This window comes from Homo sapiens, chromosome 7 (assembly GCF_000001405.40).
Source record: "Homo sapiens chromosome 7, GRCh38.p14 Primary Assembly".
NCBI classification, from domain to species: domain Eukaryota; kingdom Metazoa; phylum Chordata; class Mammalia; order Primates; family Hominidae; genus Homo; species Homo sapiens.
Window position 1 is genome coordinate 1044299 of NC_000007.14, and position 18004 is coordinate 1062302.

At 59.0% G+C, this 18004-nt stretch overlaps 2 protein-coding genes across 13 annotated transcripts in view, besides 8 other annotated features; one reads left to right on the forward strand and one right to left on the reverse strand.

The window, feature by feature from the left end:
* Positions 1–18004, reverse strand: part of CHLSN (cholesin) — a 160294-nt gene that overhangs the window by 66335 nt on the left and 75955 nt on the right. The gene's annotated exons all lie outside the window — the stretch shown is intronic.
* Positions 28–517: a silencer, noted in NCBI's record as "silent region_17841". NCBI's record gives its function as "represses an Ori minimal core promoter by ATAC-STARR-seq in GM12878 lymphoblastoid cells {active_cell/tissue: GM12878}" and the evidence as "EXISTENCE:reporter gene assay evidence [ECO:0000049][PMID:35858748]".
* Positions 248–14963, forward strand: GPR146 (G protein-coupled receptor 146). Of its 6 annotated transcripts, XM_011515116.4 has the most exons (4): positions 11072–11185; positions 11806–11950; positions 12349–12531; positions 13194–14963. In XM_011515116.4, exons 3-4 carry the CDS (start codon positions 12502–12504, stop codon positions 14217–14219), a joined length of 1056 nt encoding a protein of 351 aa, XP_011513418.1. In that variant the 5' UTR covers positions 11072–11185; positions 11806–11950; positions 12349–12501; the 3' UTR covers positions 14220–14963. The 6 variants fall into 6 exon arrangements, with proteins under 6 accessions (XP_047275820.1, XP_047275821.1, NP_001290402.1 ...); XM_047419864.1 differs by lacking the exons at positions 11806–11950; positions 12349–12531 and adding an exon at positions 248–360 and having other exon boundaries at positions 1039–11185; XM_047419865.1 differs by lacking the exons at positions 11806–11950; positions 12349–12531 and adding an exon at positions 248–360 and having other exon boundaries at positions 9766–11185.
* Positions 698–747: a silencer, noted in NCBI's record as "silent region_17842". NCBI's record gives its function as "represses an Ori minimal core promoter by ATAC-STARR-seq in GM12878 lymphoblastoid cells {active_cell/tissue: GM12878}" and the evidence as "EXISTENCE:reporter gene assay evidence [ECO:0000049][PMID:35858748]".
* Positions 7701–8681: an enhancer, noted in NCBI's record as "H3K27ac-H3K4me1 hESC enhancer chr7:1091635-1092615 (GRCh37/hg19 assembly coordinates)". NCBI's record gives its function as "activates a minimal SCP1, AML or CMV promoter by ChIP-STARR-seq in primed H9 embryonic stem cells {active_cell/tissue: H9 hESC(primed)}" and the evidence as "EXISTENCE:reporter gene assay evidence [ECO:0000049][PMID:30033119]".
* Positions 11171–11876: an enhancer, noted in NCBI's record as "H3K27ac-H3K4me1 hESC enhancer chr7:1095105-1095810 (GRCh37/hg19 assembly coordinates)". NCBI's record gives its function as "activates a minimal SCP1, AML or CMV promoter by ChIP-STARR-seq in primed H9 embryonic stem cells {active_cell/tissue: H9 hESC(primed)}" and the evidence as "EXISTENCE:reporter gene assay evidence [ECO:0000049][PMID:30033119]".
* Positions 11171–12582: a biological region, named in NCBI's record as "H3K27ac-H3K4me1 hESC enhancers GRCh37_chr7:1095105-1095810 and GRCh37_chr7:1095811-1096516".
* Positions 11803–12022: a silencer, noted in NCBI's record as "fragment chr7:1095737-1095956 (GRCh37/hg19 assembly coordinates)". NCBI's record gives its function as "represses an EF-1alpha promoter that drives an FKBP-Casp9 reporter gene in an ReSE screen in HepG2 liver carcinoma cells {active_cell/tissue: HepG2}" and the evidence as "EXISTENCE:reporter gene assay evidence [ECO:0000049][PMID:32094911]".
* Positions 11841–12170: an enhancer, noted in NCBI's record as "active region_25485". NCBI's record gives its function as "activates an Ori minimal core promoter by ATAC-STARR-seq in GM12878 lymphoblastoid cells {active_cell/tissue: GM12878}" and the evidence as "EXISTENCE:reporter gene assay evidence [ECO:0000049][PMID:35858748]".
* Positions 11877–12582: an enhancer, noted in NCBI's record as "H3K27ac-H3K4me1 hESC enhancer chr7:1095811-1096516 (GRCh37/hg19 assembly coordinates)". NCBI's record gives its function as "activates a minimal SCP1, AML or CMV promoter by ChIP-STARR-seq in primed H9 embryonic stem cells {active_cell/tissue: H9 hESC(primed)}" and the evidence as "EXISTENCE:reporter gene assay evidence [ECO:0000049][PMID:30033119]".

The following is an 18004-nucleotide window of genomic DNA, read 5'->3' on the forward strand; positions in this document are numbered from 1 at the left end:
AAAAACTCCCAGAGCCCTGGGTGTGTGTCCTCCCACAGGGAATCTCGCACGAGTTCGTCAAATGGCTGGTCTCAGGTTACACAACCAGCACTGCCTCCACCGCCACCGCCCCCCAACCTCACTGGTCCGAGCGGTTCCCCGCGGTCTAGCCGCGAGGGCGGGGCCGGGGGGCGGAGGCCAGGGCGGGACCAAGGCTGGGGGCGGGGCCAGGCATGGCTGCCGCTCGCCGGCCGGGGGCGGGGCCGACGGTCACGTGTGTACACAGGGCCCGGGCGGCGTGCGCGCCGTGAGCCCCGCCGCCTCCGCCAGCCCGAGCTGCCCGCCCGGCGGCGACTGCGCCGGCCGCCGCCCAGCAAGCCGGTGAGTGGGGCCCGGGAGCCTGGGTCGGGTCGGTGGGGCACACCCCAGTCTCCGCCTGGGGAGGGAGCCAGCCCCAAGCTGCTGTGGCTCCCACGGCGGGCGCTGCGCTTACTGGGACCCGGGTCCTCTGGCCGCTGCCCACTGCGGGGCTCCGTGCCCTTGCCAGGAGGGGACCGCTGTCCTCCGGCCGCGCTCCGAGCTGAGCCCCGGGGGCGGGCTTTCGGTCATTAACCTGGTGATGGCAGCTGAATCTGCTGCTGGCGTAGGCGGCACAGCGCCGCCACCGGCTCTCCCATGTCCGACAGGGCACCACTGATCCTGCTCTCCTGGGCCACTATGGTGACTGCTTTCGGCCCCTTCTGTGATTAGTATTTTAAAGTGAGTTTTGGATCTGTGTCTACATGGAGGTGTCGGATCTGCTGTCAGTTGTCTTGGACAGTTGGCAGGGCATGGGACGGCTCTTTCAAAGCTTCACTGGAAGGCAGTGCTCTCCAGCCGCCAAACCACCACTACCAGCAGCAGAAAACCCACTATTAAGTTAGTATTACAAACCTGGCAAGTCAGTTCTCTAAATTAGGCATAAGTCTATGAATCTTGATGTGACTGGTCACAGTGGCTTATCTCTGCATGCATGCTACGTGGTGGACCAGAGGATAATTCTGTATTCGTCGTCCACAGCCTTTGATCTCTTCCCTGCCCATGAAGATGTACTTGAGTCCTCCATTCCACTTTAAATAGCCAGCTCCTGTCCACACGGAACAGCACGACATCTTTTATCTTTTGCTACCTGCAGCACCTAGCAGAGGCCAGCATTCAATAACAGAGGGCCAAGAGGCTTGCTTTAAAGGCCTCTGCAAACTTGTATGAGTAAAATGGTTCTGACCATGTTCCCAGGCTCCTCACGCATAGTGGTGATGAGATAGTCTACCGTCCTAACTGGGGCACCGTTGAGAGTGAACGGAGGCACTGTTAATAATTAGACGAAGTGCACACTCACAGTACCCATGACCTGCTGTGCAGCTCCTTCAAGAACTACTGTAAGGCCTGGCTCCCCAACCAGAACCCCTGTTGTCTTCCTCAATGAAGAAGGCCTCTGAAGACAAGTGACTTAAGAACATAGTTTATATGTATTGAATACTGTTGTGCCTTTTCACAGAGAAGAGGTCGGGGCCAGAGCAGCTCACTGCCCGACGCCACACACATCCGTGCTGGCGTCCACGTGTCATCCTGCCTCTCTAGCCAGCATGGACATATCCTGAGGATGGAGGACAGAGGAACACAGATTTAGGGCAGAATGTAAATGTGAAAGTTGACTTGGAGTCCCTGCAACTCATAAGCCCCAGTAGGCTGATGAAGAGAGAAGGGCAAAGGGCGCGCACCTCATGTGGGTCTTAGGTTAGGATGTAAAGGCTGATTATGTCTATCATACAATGAATCAATGGCATACTGCACAGATCGCTGCATGGGGAAATATGCTCGTGTAATTTACAGTCGGAAGAGGGACATGCTGCTCACTGGGGCAGGGAGAAGAAGGGGCTCCTCAGGGAGCTGCAGCTCTCACAGCCCCTAGGATGTCACCTGGAATCCTGAAAAAATAACTGCCGCCTGGCCTTTAATGACCCAACCACAGCGAGGTCTTGCCTTTGCAGAAGGAAATTATCACCCAGAGAACCCGGCCGACCGTGTCATGCACACGACGATCCCACGGTGCTGTTTTCTGTCAACAGTGTTTCCCAGCCATTCCCTCCTGCCTGCCAGCTCCTCTGCTCTCCAGGGCTTTCACTAACCCACCTGCCCAACTGACCAGCATTAGGCTGTCCAGTTAGCCCACATCTGTCCAGGGGTCTCAAAGGCTCAGGACCCCAAGACACCATCCAGGTAGCCAAGAGGACAGGGAACCCAGTCTGGAGAGTAGAATAACGTTTCGCTCCAATTTGAGATCCCAAAATGAGATGCTGCCCGGGACCAGAAGTCAGTTTCTTAGGAGCGTGCTGTCTACCCAGGAGCCTCCGTGTGCAAACAAAATACCCCCTTGAGCAGCAGAGGGACAAGGTGGAGGTGGGGCAGGTGTCTGTTCATCCCCACAGAGCCACACCCAGGTCCCTTCCTGCAAAGGCCAAGGACTTTCCCCATTTTAATTGGAACCAAAGCAAGCCTTGCAGACCACTGTCGCTACCACAGCTAGTGTGATGAGGAGAAATAACCTGCTGGCTCCTCCCTGGGAAACAACCAAGGTGGTGATAAGATCTGCGGCTCAGAGCACTTCCCTGCAGGTTAAGGCCACGCCTAGTAAACCGGGGCTCGACTGAGGAGCCCCGGCAGGTGCCAAGCCTGCCCAGAGTCTGCAGTAGAGACTCTCTGTTCTTGGCCATGTCTTTGAATTTCTGAGGAAGTCTTTTTTGTTTGTTTTTGTTTTTCCCTGGTCTGATGTACCTGGAGAGGGAATTAGCCTCACACCCAGTTAGGGAACAAAAAGCCAAGTAAACAAAAGAATGCTGTTCCACCTTCCTCCAGGGAACTGGCGCCCATAGCTGCAGGCACAGGTGCCCAGCCCGCTCACTGGCCCAGCAAGGTGCTTGGTCTCAGGCCCCCAGAGCCCGTCCTGGAGCCGCAAACATGCTCGCTATTATCCATGGAAAAAGAGAGGCATTCTCTTTGTTTATAGTCTAAGCCAAGTCACCTGATTCACTCTCACTACTCTGCAGTTTGGAATTGTAAAAAGCAAAAGGCTACAAAAATCAAAACCATCCACCTATGTAATGAACCATTTCTTATCACAGCCCAGGAAGGCACAGATAGGAATCAGTGTGCGTAAGCTCTCCACGTGGAAACCCTGTGAAAACAGCAGCCTTTCCTAAGCATCTGGCTCCTAGGAGCTGGATGTTAATTGTTGCTAAAGCCTGGGTTCATTACTACAAAAGAAAATAAACATTCCAGAGTCATTTTGAAAGCATTTTGATTGTTCTAGAATATTCACCCAAGGTTGAGCGTCTCATGGTGCATGGCAGGTTCGGCCAGGAGCTGGCCGTGGCCTTTCCACTCCTTTCCTGCCATCCTGAGGATGCAGTGCCTGGGGCCTCGCAGTTCTCTTTCCACTCAAATCTAAGGCTCTAAAGCTTCAACAACTGTCCGGGGACAATAAGAAGCGCTGAGTCCCCATCCTGCCTGCTCTCCTTTCTACTCAGTGGGGAAATTGGATCACTCGCCTTGGTGGATCACTCGCCTTGGGGAAAAGCCTTTTACGTCACTGAATACATCCCCTTCTACGGTTTTCATCCAACAGTCAGCCAGGCTGCTGCAGCACACATAAAAACTTCCCCTGCCTGCAAAGAGCTCCAAGTAGGTGGGAAAGAGATGGATGTGCGGACAGGCTTAACCCAGCAAAGACTGGCGGAGGGGTGTGGAGACAGTGGTCAGGGGTGGGTTCCCGGGGGTACTGATGCCCAAAATAAAATGTCAAGGACGAGCCAGTGTTTGCTGAGAGAACGAGGGGAAGCGAGAAAGGGTGTTCTAGGCAAGGGATCAACATCCGCAAAAGACAGTGTGAAAGAGAGCACCCGGAAACTTCGTGGGGATCACCGGGCGTGGGACTTGCCGGCCCCAGCTCTGACAGGGCCCTAAGCAACAGAGGAAAGAACTTCCCGACTAACAGGGACAGCAACATCAAAAGCGATGGCTTTTGTGAAACTAATTCAGCCACCTTGGAGCAGAGGATTCCTCTGCTGGTTTCTGTTTCTGCCAGCTCTGTGCAGTGCAGGCGCTATGATGCTCTCTCTCTCTCACACACACATACAGGGACCCGGGTGCCTCTCAGGTTGAGAGGGGTGGTCACCATCCCCACACTCAGGCCCCCTCTGTCTCCAGGCCTGCTGCTTCTGAACAGGCCTGGGGCAGTCCATTTCTATTGGGAAACCCTATCAAAGTTAGCCCCGGGTTTCAGCCAAGTTCACCTCACTGCTCACAGACATTCATTATTAACAGACTGTTTGATAGCACTTTGGGCTCTTTTTAAATAAGACATAGGAAGAAAGATGCCAACGTCTCACTTGAAATGCTCCTGACAGCTAGCCTGACGGGGTCCTGTCGCCCCTGTCCACACCCTGCTATGGCCATGGTCTCCACAGCCGCACATGGGCTCCAGACATTTTCACGAGTTATGAACCAAAGAGAACCAAGACCCCTGGAGCAGGTTCTCCTTCTCAGTCCCATGTTCCTTTGAAAGCAATGAATAGAGGCCAGGGAAGCAAGTGTTTATACTCCAGTTTAGTACTAGTGAAACATCGGGAAATTCATTGTGTTGGTATCAAAGCCCCAACTCAGAACATAAAAACCATAAAACTGCAAAGCCTCTGCAGTCTGAGCGTGCGCTCCCCAGGCCTCCGCTGTCTGAGCGTGCGCTCCCCAGGCCTCCGCGGTCTGACCCTGTGCTACCCATGCAAGCGCCACCCACAGGTGCGTCCTGGGGGCTGCCTCCTCCTCCACGTTGGCCAGCAGTGTGGGGTGTGACGGGGCCCATGTTGTTGTCACCCCCACCCTGCCCCACGTTTCCCCTGCACACGTGTCCGTTCACAAAGATTCTGAGCAAAAGGTCACAGAACAGCTTCCTCTGCCCTTTATATGTGGGGAGGAGGCCAAAGATCTGCAGGCGTCATCATTCCAGGCCAGGGCTGGTAACAGGGAGCAAGTGCCGGCACCCTCTTGTGCTTCACATGGGTTGGTTTACTTAACCCTCCTGTCTCATGAAGATTTTTACTAAGCCTGGGGAAACCGAGGCACACAGCAAGGATGTCACCTGCCTGCAAAGGCACCTGTGTGCAAGCCAGGACTGGAAAAGCTCAGCCTGCAGTGCACATGCTTGCTGCCCGCTCCAGAGCCCAGGCCCTTAACCACTTCCTTCCTAGGAAGACGGAGGGCGAGGGAGTTTCTTACAGCGCTTTATGTCAACTCCTGCTGCTGCCCACCACTAATCCAGGCCCCTGCAGACAGCAGGGCACGGTCCTTCCTATTAGCAGGCTTACTACGAAGCCCTGTCTAACATTCCCTCATGTCAGGTAGAAGGAATTAGACCAGAGGTCAAGGCAGCGGCTGGAATCAGTGGTGCTTTCTCAAAGTAGGAAAACAGTTTTAGGACTGTTTTCGGTCAAATTTTGGGCACCACTGTACTGGGTTCTATGACAGAGAAGCCACCAAGGTCCCGTGCGAGGAGCCCTGGGCAGGGACAGCTGAAGCTGTGCACCTGGGCCCTCCTGATTGCCTCCCACCAGCCAGGCCTGGCAGCAGCCAGCAGCCACCCCACCCCACCCCAACAAGGAGAGCTGCCCCACACTGTCGGCCCCCAAAGCTCAGGACACACGGGCCCTCCCAGGTCTCTCTGGCGGGCTAGGCCTTGGCAGGGCCCCCTCAGCGGGCCCCACTCTGAACCGCAAGCACAGGGTCTTCTGCAGTGTGAGACCTGCTGTCAGCACAGGCCTACGGGCTCAGGGCTGTGCAGGGACACAGGGGCCAGCACCACTGGGCACCCTGTCCTTTCCCAGCCTGCCTGTGCACCCTGTGGGCAGTGACTCCTCAGGCACAGTGGCCCAAAGTCACAGGTGGTCTGTCAGGGGCTCTCCAGGGAGCTGCACACACTCAGGTTTAGATCAGGAACAGAACAGATCCCCAGGGCATTTGCTCAGGCTCAGAGCAGAGCAGGGAGCCGTCCACCTGCGGCGGGCACATCCATGGACTTCCAAGCCAACAGGGACAGCTGCCCAGACGGGCTGCCCAAGCCAACCAAGGATCCTGTCCCATCGGTCCCTGTGGCTTGGGAGTCTGGCACTTTTTGGCTTTCGTTTCTCAAGCTGCCCCAGCTTCTCCAAGTCCTGAGCCTGGGGCTCCCAGCTCCGAGCGGATGCTCTGCAAGTGGCGTCCCTGCACCCTGGTGCAGGCGGACGGACGCGGGAGAGCCTGCAAGGAAGTAAGGCCCAGCAGCCTTCCCGGGCTTGGAACGCCGCAGCCTAGGAAGCATCTTCCCAGGAAATCGCAGTCGGAGCCCAGCACGGGGTCTTGGAAGAAAAGACCCCACCTTCTATCCTCACGAGTACGCATTAGGAGTGAGCACCGCTCAGTAGATGACACAGAGGCACAGCTGAGGACCCAGAGACGGGCACACCGGAAACAGCGACATCCACAGGCGCTCGGCAGGGACCAGGAACCCAGAAGGCTTGACGCGCAGGGGGTCTCGGAGAAACTCTACCCCTGTCCTTCCCAGCCTCCTGCTTAGCTGGGCCTCACCCTAGCCTGCTGGAGATGGCGGCCATGCCGTCAGAGAGGGGGATGGACAGATTGGCTGAGGTCACCCCACAGGCCAGCAGAGGCCTGGGTGGGAGTGCGCAGCCCCGCAGATGGCTGCTTATGGGGCCCAGAGGCCACCCCTGCGTCGCAGAGGGCACCAGCACACCCGGACTTCTCGGAGGCTTCATACAGCTCCCAGGCCCTACAAGCAGCGTGTGGGCAGAGGCCCAGGCCCCTTCCTGTCACTCAGAGAAGCTGCTGCTCCCAGAAAACGGGGCGCCAGCCTCCCATGAACACTGTGTCCCAACCCCGGTCCTCTCAGGATTCCTGTGTGGAAATGTCACTTCTGTCTCAGCTCTCTAGGGTGCACCTGGTGTCCAGCTCTGCCCCCTTTCTGCTTAAGCAGCTGCTGGGAGACCCTGAGCCAGGCCGCCGAGGTTCTGAGCTCGTAAGGGGTGCAGCAGTTTCCCGCACAGCGTGGGGAGCACATTTGCTCACGTCTCCCAGGCTGGCTGTACACTCTGAGGCCAGCCCTGGGCTCTGACACTCTCCCGATTCCGCTGGGCTTTCTAAGCCCTCCTCTCCTGTCCACTGCTGGCCCATGGCCCAGGCCCAGCCTTGAAGCTGTAAAGACCTCTCACCCCATCCAAATGAGACTGGTCAGATATCTCCCGCATGTCAGCCGCCACTGGATTGGGAAGGACGGGCAGTAGGTGCAAGGCTGGCCCTTTTTATGAGAGTTATTTAAAAAACAAAAACAGGTCAGGCACAGTGGCTCACACCTGTAATCCCAGCACTTTGGGAGACTGAGGCAGGAGGGTCACTTGAACCCAGGAGTTTGAGACTAGCCTGGGCAACATAGTGAGACCCTGTCTCAAAAAACGTTAAATGAAAACATTAGCCAGCTGTAGTGGCACATGCCTGTAGTCCCAGCTTCTTGGGAGGCTGAGATGGGAGGATCGCTTGAGCCCAGGAGGCAGAGGGTGCAGTTAGCTATGATGGTACCACTGCCCTCCAGCCTGGGTGACTGAGAGAGATCCTGGCTCCAAACAGAAAAATAAAAACAGAAGGAGGAACAGATGAATCCCATTTGTGACATTAATGAATTCTCTTATAGGGAAAATAAAACGATTGAAACTGGGCCATCTTGGACAGCTGAGGCCCAGGCAGGGCCAGCTCCTTCCACCTTCCCAGCCAAGATGCTGCCTGCAGCCCCTCCCCTCCTGGCCCGAGATGCTGTCATTGTCCCTAAGAGACCCTGAGGCCTGCTCCAGGCTGAGTGGGTGAGGAGCCTCTGAGCAGGCGCCTGCGTCGAGGCGTGCCCTCCTGAGAGGCAAGGCTGACCTGCAGCGTCCAGCTCGGCTGGGGACACTCGCCTGAGAAGAGCCCAGTCCTGGGTGCCTCCCTAGGGGAGGGCCTTGGGGCTGCTTGTGCTGGCACCGACGTGGGCCTGGGGAGGGACCTGTGTGTGGGTGGCAGGTCTTGAGGAGTCGTGGGGGAGGGTTTCGGGGGGAGATGCTGGTGGTAACAGTGGGAGGTAGGCAGTGAAACCAGCAGTGTGACTTTGGAGGTGCTGGAGGAGCAGGGCCTGGCGGAAGAAGTGGGGGAGCCAGGAAGGAGCAGCTGCCAGGGACGGCCTGGCCTGGGAGGGTGGCCAGGAACTGGGGGAGAAGCTGGTGGTCAAGCTGGTGGTCTCTCAGTGCAAGGGTGGGGCTGGCCTGGAGGAGAGGCCCACAGGGTCCCTGCTGGCTGAGGGTGCAGTGGCGGGCCCCGGAAGCTGAATATCACCCCCGCCACCGGGCAGGCAGTGCTCAGAGTGAAACGGGTGACTGGAGGGCATGTGCCAGCTCTGTTCCTCAAGCCTGGCCCAAGAGGGACCTGCAGCATGGGGTTGGGGGGCAGGCGGCCCTTCTCTGTGGTCTCTCCTGCCTTCTGAGGGAGCCTCCAGAATCTTTCATCGCCGCCACAACAAACTCAGGCTTTCGTGTAGGAAAAGAGCCCACTTCTGAAGAGGCTCATCTGGGCTTTCTCTCCCAGCCTCTAAGTCTCCCATCACCTGGCTCCCCGTTCCTCTTTCCCTTGAAGGAAGTCAGCAGAGTGCATGGCTGACGGGAAAGAAGGCACAGCGGGCCTGCCCAGTGGGGGGAGAAGCCAGGCCATTGTTCTCCAGTTCCAGGATGCCCTGCTTCCCCAGACAGCCCGGCAGCCAGGAAAAGGAAGTCTCTGGGCACAGAGGCAAGCGGGAGACCACGGACAGGCAAGGAGTCGAAGGCTCCACCCGCCTGGGCCAGGCCAGGCTCCCACAGAACCCCTCTGCGTCCAGGCAGGCACATGGGGCCCAGGCCATCCCCCTCACTCGGACGCAGGTGTGGCGACGGCGGGGGAGGGGCGTCCACAGTAGAGCCCAGAACCTTGCGCAGGACAGGACCCCGGCTAATGTGCCCGGAACAGCTCAGTGACAGGGAGCTGGGTTGGCTGTGAGGGTCGGGCACGCGTCACGAGTCTCCTGTGACCAGGAGAGGTGGGAACACTGGCTCACATGACTCGCCAGGCCCTGGCACGCTGTGGTTCTGTGGGTGCCCCCTGCAGCTCCCAGCCTTCAAAATGTACACCTCGCTGGGCATGGTGGCTCACGTCTGTAATCCCAGCACTTTGGGAGGCCGAGGTGGGCGGATCACCTGAGGTCGGGAGTTCGAGATCAGCCTGGCCAACATGGAGAAACCTTGTCTCTACTGAAAATACAAAATTAGCTGGGTGTGGTGGCAGTCGCCTGTAATCCCAGCTATTCGGGAGGCTGAGGCAGGAGAATCGCTTGAACCCGGGAGGCGGAGGTTGCAGTGAGCTGAGATCGTGCCACTGCACTCCAGCCTGGGCAACAGAGCGAGACTCCATCTCAAAAAAACAAAAACAAAACCAAAAAACCATACACTTCATGCTCACTTCTCTGGGAGCCATGGCTAACAGCCTGCAGGCAGGAGACTCTCAAACCAGCTCCTGGAGGGCACTCCCAGGGACCCTGTTCCTACCACGAGCCAGAGAGGAGGCGGGTCAAGGAGACTTGTCCACCCAGGCGTGGCCGAGGAAGGGGTTTCCTCACGCTCTGCTGACCTGCCTTCCTTCCATGCCTCTCAGCCCAGCTCCTGACAAAGGCGGGAACCTGAGCTCCTCGGCTTTAGGAACGTCCCCCAGAGCCCACGGAGCAGCCCGCCCCAGCTGCCTTCCCTCCCAAGATCTCCAGGTAATGCCTGGTAAAAGGAGGGCTCCAGGGAGAATGTTGGGGCCAACACGCAAAGCGCGTCACCTTCCAACCGGCGGAGAGTGAAGGAAAACAGGTACGGCTCGGCTTGTAACCTTCACTGGAAACAGAAACCATCCTCATCATTGATACCTGGTGAACTGCACAGAGAGCAACCTGCAGCTTTGGAAGTTTATAAATCCTTCAGTATTTGTCAGCTGCCAGTAAACAAAAATGCACACAGGAGAACTTTCCACCTGAACCCCACCTGGAGGCCGGCGTTCCCAGGTCCCGGCTGGGGTGACAGCACGCACTCGAGAGCCGGTTCAGGGCGAGTGGGACGCACGTGAGCGCAGGGAGGAAATGCCAGCAGATCCCACTCCACGTGACCGCCTCCCAAGAATCGAGCCATTCTTAGCCCTGCAGACGCTGGCTGCCTCCCTCTGACTTGGCCTCACGGCGGGGCAGGCATTAGCAGTCCAGGCAGCTTCTCTCTGACTCCCTGCAAGGAGGGGTGCGGCGGGCAAGAGGCTGGCCCCACGCGGTTCCACCTGCAGGAGAGCCCTCGCAGGAGGCTCCGTGTGTGGGGCCGGCTCAGCTTTTCTCTGGCCATGCCCATGTCCCTTCTGTGCACGGAGACACCAGATGCACGTGCTCCCCTCTCTGCTTCCGACCTGAACCTGCCCTCGGCCTCCGCTGTGCCTCTGAGGACTCCTGTGTCCTGTGGGCTGAGTGAGCATGGCCAGGCCTTCGCTCGACAGTAGACCCTTCTGTTGATTTCCTCACGGAAAAAAGGGTTCGTAACCAACATCTCAAGCACACTGAACACCAGGGGCGGCTGCATGGACCTGGACACGTGTCTGCCTGACCTGCCCCCAGGCTCTCGGTGGGATGCCCCGCAGCGATGCAGACAGGGGCCTGCGGGCAGAGGCCACGGCCTCCATGAGCCAGGCTATCAGAAAGGTGGGACAAGAGGCCAGCTGTGCTCAGTTTGCAGTGCGGTCCCGTCCAAGCACGGCCCCTCGTTTCTGGAACCCGGCTGTAAACAGCAGGAGGGAGGGGCGGTGGCGCCTGCCAAGGGAGGCAGAGGCCCTGCGGGGAACTTACCAGAGGAAAACAAGTGCTTGCATCCTGGGGCCCTCACACGCACGCGCAGGCGGCCAGGCGCGCTGCTGATAAGAGCCTGCGGGTTTGCAGAGAAGCGCAGCAGCGCGCAGGTCCTCACCAGAGCTCTGGTGGCCACCTCTGTCCCGCCATGCTGCTCACCGACAGTGGCCAGGGCCCACAGCACCAAGAGGCTTGGGCCACAAAGTAAAGGTGAGAGCCTGTGGTGCCCGCAGGTGGGAGAGGGGACGTGGGGGGCTCTGTGCAGTACAGGCAGGAGAGGGGACGTGGGGGACTCTGTGCAGCACAGGTGGGAGAGAGGACGCAGGGGGTTCTGTACAGTGCCACCGGTGGACATCTCTAAGTAGGGAATGAAGGGGTGCCGAGACAGAGCACACTGAGGGGTCCCGGCCCTTGGCAAGCTCTGTGGGGTGAAGGTGGCCGGCCGGGTGTGCCCTCCTGTCAGTGACTGGAGGCAGCACACAAGGCACACAGTGAGACAGCCCTCCCGCTCCGATCTTCTAATCACAGACCCTGGACAGATCCGGGGGCCCTGGGCGCCCCGTGAGGCCAGGCCAGGCTGCTGACTGACACCCAGTCACAGTGGCCTGTGTTTCCTGGGGACTCAAGTGGAGTCTGGGGGGTGACGTCCCCAAACTGGGCTGCCACTCTGTGACAGCCAAAGCCACGCAGCCTCGCAGGCAGAAGCTGGGGTGTGGAGGACCACGATCCTGAAGAACCCCGTCCTCTGGACCCTGGCGCAGCAGGAGGGGAGAAGCCCGCAGAGGCCCGGACGCCCCCCTCACCGGCCCCCGCCACTGTGCTTGGAGCAGGTGCATCCTGTCTGGAGCTTGTGCTGGCCCGGCGAGTGGAGCCCAGAGCCCATCCCCCACTACCAACATCCCCCAGATTGCTGCCTGCCTGGCCGAGGAGGTGCTGGTCAAGATGTGTTAGTGAGGAGCTAGACAAGATGAGCACGTGAGAAGCAGGGGCCAGGGAGCCTGGACCCAGGACCTGGGGGTGCTGTGGCAGCGCTGTGGCGGCACTGTGGCTGGGCACACCCAGCAGCGGCCTAGCTCTGCATGCCTGTCACCACCTGACCCTCACTGCGGCTGCTGGGCGGCATTCACCAGGATTGCACAATGACCCACACCTCCCGTCCTGCCCACCAGCCTCTGGATGGGAATTCCCACATCTACCCACCCGCCCATCTGCCAGCTGCCTGCATGCCTAGCCACAGGGCCGTGTCTCCTGCTGTGGGGCGCACACTGCTATTGGCACTGGGGACCTCGGGCCCTGGCCCCTCCGTGCTCTCCACCTCCCGAGCCTCCTCTTCCCGCCCTGCTGTGGCCCTGTGTGTGGTGTGGGTCTTGCAGTGGCAGGACTCCAGTGGCGGGTGAGGACCCACTCCCGCAGCCGGCCTCCTCACTGCTCTTGCCTCCGGGCATGGGAACGATGCCGTCTGCTCGTCTGCCTGAGACGCTTTCTACTCCACTCCGAGAGTAGGAGGTCAGCCGGGGCCAAATGACATGGTGGACATCAGGCTTCCCGAGATAGCTGTAGGTCCCTGAGGAATGCCTGTGCTTTGGCGGGGTGGGGGGGTGGGGGTGGCGAAATTCTTACTCTAGGATGGCTCCAGCCGCCAGGTTCTCATTCAGTGACGTCAAGACTGGCTATGTCCCCATGTCCCCAGAGCCTCCTGTGGGCTGCGACCCACAGGTCACCCTCCCTGGAGCCCAGGCTCTGCAAGGACTCCAAGGCACCGGGTCCTGAGCTGCCGGGAGGGAGGGAGGGAGGCTCAGGGCTGACCGTCCACATTGCCTGTCCCTCCCGGCGCTGGCAAGATGCGAACACCACAGACATCTAGTAAACTTCGGGAATCACTGTGCGGGGCCCGTCCAACCAACTCAGGACGACCACCCAGGCCTCGCAGCAGCCCGTGAAGAGTGGGCTCTGAGAATGTGGGGCACACCAGGCTCCCTCTCTGGTCCCCAACCCCAGCCGCTGAAATAAGTGCAGCCACAGCAGCCCCCGGTCACGACCCGAGACGGCCATTTTTCAACGCTCAACTTCACTTTCACAGAAATGCACCAAAGGCAGCCTCGCTCTGTGGTCTGCAGCGATTACTGCACCAGGAGAAGGCACCCCTGTACCTGCAGCACTTCTGGGCCAGGGCTTTGGGACGGGACGCGAGCTGACCACCTGTTCCTTCTTTCCGCAGGGTCGCGGAGCCTCGCCGGCCGCCATGTGGAGCTGCAGCTGGTTCAACGGCACAGGGCTGGTGGAGGAGCTGCCTGCCTGCCAGGACCTGCAGCTGGGGCTGTCACTGTTGTCGCTGCTGGGCCTGGTGGTGGGCGTGCCAGTGGGCCTGTGCTACAACGCCCTGCTGGTGCTGGCCAACCTACACAGCAAGGCCAGCATGACCATGCCGGACGTGTACTTTGTCAACATGGCAGTGGCAGGCCTGGTGCTCAGCGCCCTGGCCCCTGTGCACCTGCTCGGCCCCCCGAGCTCCCGGTGGGCGCTGTGGAGTGTGGGCGGCGAAGTCCACGTGGCACTGCAGATCCCCTTCAATGTGTCCTCACTGGTGGCCATGTACTCCACCGCCCTGCTGAGCCTCGACCACTACATCGAGCGTGCACTGCCGCGGACCTACATGGCCAGCGTGTACAACACGCGGCACGTGTGCGGCTTCGTGTGGGGTGGCGCGCTGCTGACCAGCTTCTCCTCGCTGCTCTTCTACATCTGCAGCCATGTGTCCACCCGCGCGCTAGAGTGCGCCAAGATGCAGAACGCAGAAGCTGCCGACGCCACGCTGGTGTTCATCGGCTACGTGGTGCCAGCACTGGCCACCCTCTACGCGCTGGTGCTACTCTCCCGCGTCCGCAGGGAGGACACGCCCCTGGACCGGGACACGGGCCGGCTGGAGCCCTCGGCACACAGGCTGCTGGTGGCCACCGTGTGCACGCAGTTTGGGCTCTGGACGCCACACTATCTGATCCTGCTGGGGCACACGGTCATCATCTCGCGAGGGAAGCCCGTGGACGCACACTACCTGGGGCTACTGCACTTTGTGAAGGATTTCTCCAAACTCCTGGCCTTCTCCAGCAGCTTTGTGACACCACTTCTCTACCGCTACATGAACCAGAGCTTCCCCAGCAAGCTCCAACGGCTGATGAAAAAGCTGCCCTGCGGGGACCGGCACTGCTCCCCGGACCACATGGGGGTGCAGCAGGTGCTGGCGTAGGCGGCCCAGCCCTCCTGGGGAGACGTGACTCTGGTGGACGCAGAGCACTTAGTTACCCTGGACGCTCCCCACATCCTTCCAGAAGGAGACGAGCTGCTGGAAGAGAAGCAGGAGGGGTGTTTTTCTTGAAGTTTCCTTTTTCCCACAAATGCCACTCTTGGGCCAAGGCTGTGGTCCCCGTGGCTGGCATCTGGCTTGAGTCTCCCCGAGGCCTGTGCGTCTCCCAAACACGCAGCTCAAGGTCCACATCCGCAAAAGCCTCCTCGCCTTCAGCCTCCTCAGCATTCAGTTTGTCAATGAAGTGATGAAAGCTTAGAGCCAGTATTTATACTTTGTGGTTAAAATACTTGATTCCCCCTTGTTTGTTTTACAAAAACAGATGTTTCCTAGAAAAATGACAAATAGTAAAATGAACAAAACCCTACGAAAGAATGGCAACAGCCAGGGTGGCCGGGCCCTGCCAGTGGGCGGCGTGTGCTAGCAAGGCCTGCCGGGTGTGCCGCAGTCACCACAGGGTTCTGAGAACATTTCACAGAAGTGCCTGAGACGCGGAGACATGGCTGGTGTTAAATGGAGCTATTCAATAGCAGTGACGCGCTCTCCTCAGCCACCAAATGTCCCTGACACCCTCCCCAGCCCCCACAGATAACATCAGCTGAGGTTTTTTTCAGTATGAACCTGTCCTAAATCAATTCCTCAAAGTGTGCACAAAACTAAAGAATATAAATAAACAAAAGAAAGGTGTGTTAGGATTTCTGACTGAATACCAGAGCTGAAGGGCCCCCAGGGGACAGAGGGCTGGAGGCTGTGTCACACGGGGTCTGGTGGGAGGGCCAGGGTGGAACCTTAGGCCAGCTCCGAAGGCACCTGGGACCAGCATCCGTATCTCCGCGGCCCTCGCAGCCTCAGATGGGGCCCGGACCGGCCTGTTCCACTTGAGCGAACAGGTCTGCAGTGAGGAGGGTCCATAGTGGGGCGGGTCCGTAGTGGGGCGGGTCTGTAGTGAGGCGGGTCTTAGTGAGGTGGGTCTTAGTGGGGCGGGTCGGTAGTGAGGCGGTTCCTAGTGAGGCGGGTCCCGAGTGGGGCGGGTCAGTAGGTGGTTCTTAGTGGGGCGGGTCTTAGTGAGGCAGGTCTTAGGGGGGCGGGTCCATAGTGAGGCGGGTCCGTAGTGGGGCGGGTCTGTAGTGAGGTGGGTCTTAGCGGGGCGGGTCTTAGGGGGGCGGGTCCGTAGTGAGGCAGGTCTTAGTGGGGCGGGTCCGTAATGAGGCGGGTCTTAGGCAGGCCCGTAGTGGGGCGGGTCTGTAGTGGGGCGGGTCTGTAGTGAGGCGGGTCCGTAGTGGGGCGGGTCTGTAGTGGGGCGGGTCCGTAGTGAGGCGGGTCTTAGTGAGGCGGGTCTTAGTGAGGCAGGTCTTAGTGGGGCGGGTCCGTAATGAGGCGGGTCTTAGGCGGGCCCGTAGTGGGGCGGGTCTTAGTGGGGCGGGTCTGTAGTGGGGCGGGTCCGTAGTGAAGCGGGTCCGTAGTGAGGCGGGTCTTAGTGAGGCGGGTCTATAGTCAGGGGCAATTGTTCCTCGTCAGCCTGGCTGGAGACCTTCCACCCATTGGGATTTTGTAAAACATCTACTTTAAAATGTGGCCGTGAGAAAAGCCCCCATTCCTCCCCACCATCTGTTCGCCTCTCCCCGATTTTCTAGGATTAAAGTATAGGCCTGCAATCCCCTACCTCCAATTCTAAAGCCCACAAAGCTCTGAAAACAGGAAGATGTTCCCCCCAAGTTTGCGGCAAATTCACTGGGCAGCGATCCCTGACCTGAAGGGGTGTGAGAGCTTCATGTCCATGAGGACCCCACCCCTTCTGAAGACGGGCGATGTGGCTGTGGGAGCTGCCCTGAGCGCCCCGGGGTTCTGTGGCACACTTCCTCCCCACAGCCTGAACGCGCTGGAATTCTGAGTATGCCCGGCCCCAGGGACAGTGGGGGTAGGGTGGGGGGAGTGGCACCTTGCAGCCATCGACGTGGGGACGTCACGCTCTGGTCCCAGTCTCCTGGGAATTCAGCCACGAGGTCACTGGCATTATTCATCACGTGCTGCAAGCAGGTCAGAGTCGGCCTCGTGAGGACGCGGCTCTGGGTGGCTCCTGCGGGGAGCTCAGACCCGCGGGACAGGCTCCTAAGCCGTGGGATTAGAGAACAGTTTTCTGAGCTGTTTCTGTCAGTGTTTGGTTTTCAGGTGTGAACCTTTAAAGCCGCAGGCCTGACCTCCCTCCCAGTCCCTCTGGAGCCGGAGCTGGTGTAAGGGCCGCGTCTCTGATGGTCCTGGGCTTCCCATCTCCATGCCTGCGCGGAAACCCTGGCATCCGATGAGGAAGTGATCACACAAGCCCACAGAACCCTGCCCAGCGGCTGGCGCCGTCAGCCCAACCCTCCTACCCCTGCAGCCCAGCTCTGCAGGGTGGGGTGTCCGTGCTTGAACCAGGAGACCCTCTTCCTGGCCGATACTTTCCAGCCCCCCTTGGCTCCACGCTGAGCTCCCAGGAAAGGGGCGGACCCCACACACAGGTGAGGGTGGCACTGGGCTGCCTCTGCCCGGGAATTACACCATCCAACTATCCTCCCCAAAGGCAGGAGGGGCCTAAAATCACTATTTCAATTTCTCAGTGGCTTTGGGTGCAAACTGGCTCATTTCTGTGGGTCTGTTGCAGGGACTGGCCTGCATTCAATACCCCTCATCCCACCCTGCTGGGTGGCCCTGTGGAGGGCCCCAGGGACACCCTGCTGCCTGGTCAGCTGTTTGTTCCTGGTGGGCCCCACACAGGGCAGGCACATGCCTCCAGCGCAGACCCTCGCCTGCTACCTGAGACACTTCACTGTGCACCATGGCCTGCCCCAACCCCCTACCCAGCGAGTCCCCTCCTCATCCCCAGGTTCCCGCCAGCCTCTGCTGCCTGAGACCCTCCACTGAGCGCCAAGGCCTCCGTCCTCATCCCCAGGCTCCCGCCAGTCTCTGTGGCTGCTTCCCAGGAGCTGCGTCGCTGACTGTTCCTGAGACACCTGCTCATCTATATTCTATGTTGCCTTCACCTGGGAAGATTCGGCACCTCCTGAGCCTCCTGCCGCCCCTGAGAGATTCCCAAAGCCTTCACCTCATCACACACAGAACACAAGAACTTGAGCCACTCGGGGCAGAAAAAGGAGCTACTTGTAAAAAGTCAAGGTAGTCATCTGCCCAACTCCCCAGTTCTTCCAGGCAGCCGTCTCCCCAACTCCCCAATTCTTCCAGGCAGCCATCTCCCCGACTCCCCAATTCTTCCAGGCAGCCATCTCCCCAACTCCCCAATTCTTCCAAGCAGCCATCTCCCCGACTCCCCAATTCTTCCAGGCAGCCATCTCCCCAACTCCCCAATTCTTCCAAGCAGCCGTCTCCCCGACTCCCTAGTTCTTCCAGGCAGCCATCTCTCCAACTGCTTAATTCTTCCAGGCAGCCGTCTGCCCAACTCCCCAATTCTTCCCCAGTTTGTGAGACACCAGGATGCGAGTTTTTCAGCGCGTGACGTCCCAGGGTCAATGATATTGCTACCAACACTTCTTGACTACTATAGTTCAAAAATCATTCATCTTATTTTTGTTTATCCACAAAAAAACCTTGCCCTGCTTCCTTAAGTAAGATTCCAGAAAGGGAGTTTAGTTGTAGATTCACTTCATTAAAGTTCTAAGAGTTATTGTAGGAAGCTGGATCTAGTGTGAATTGTGGCGAAGAGATCAGGAAATCTACACACGTCTTCTTTCATA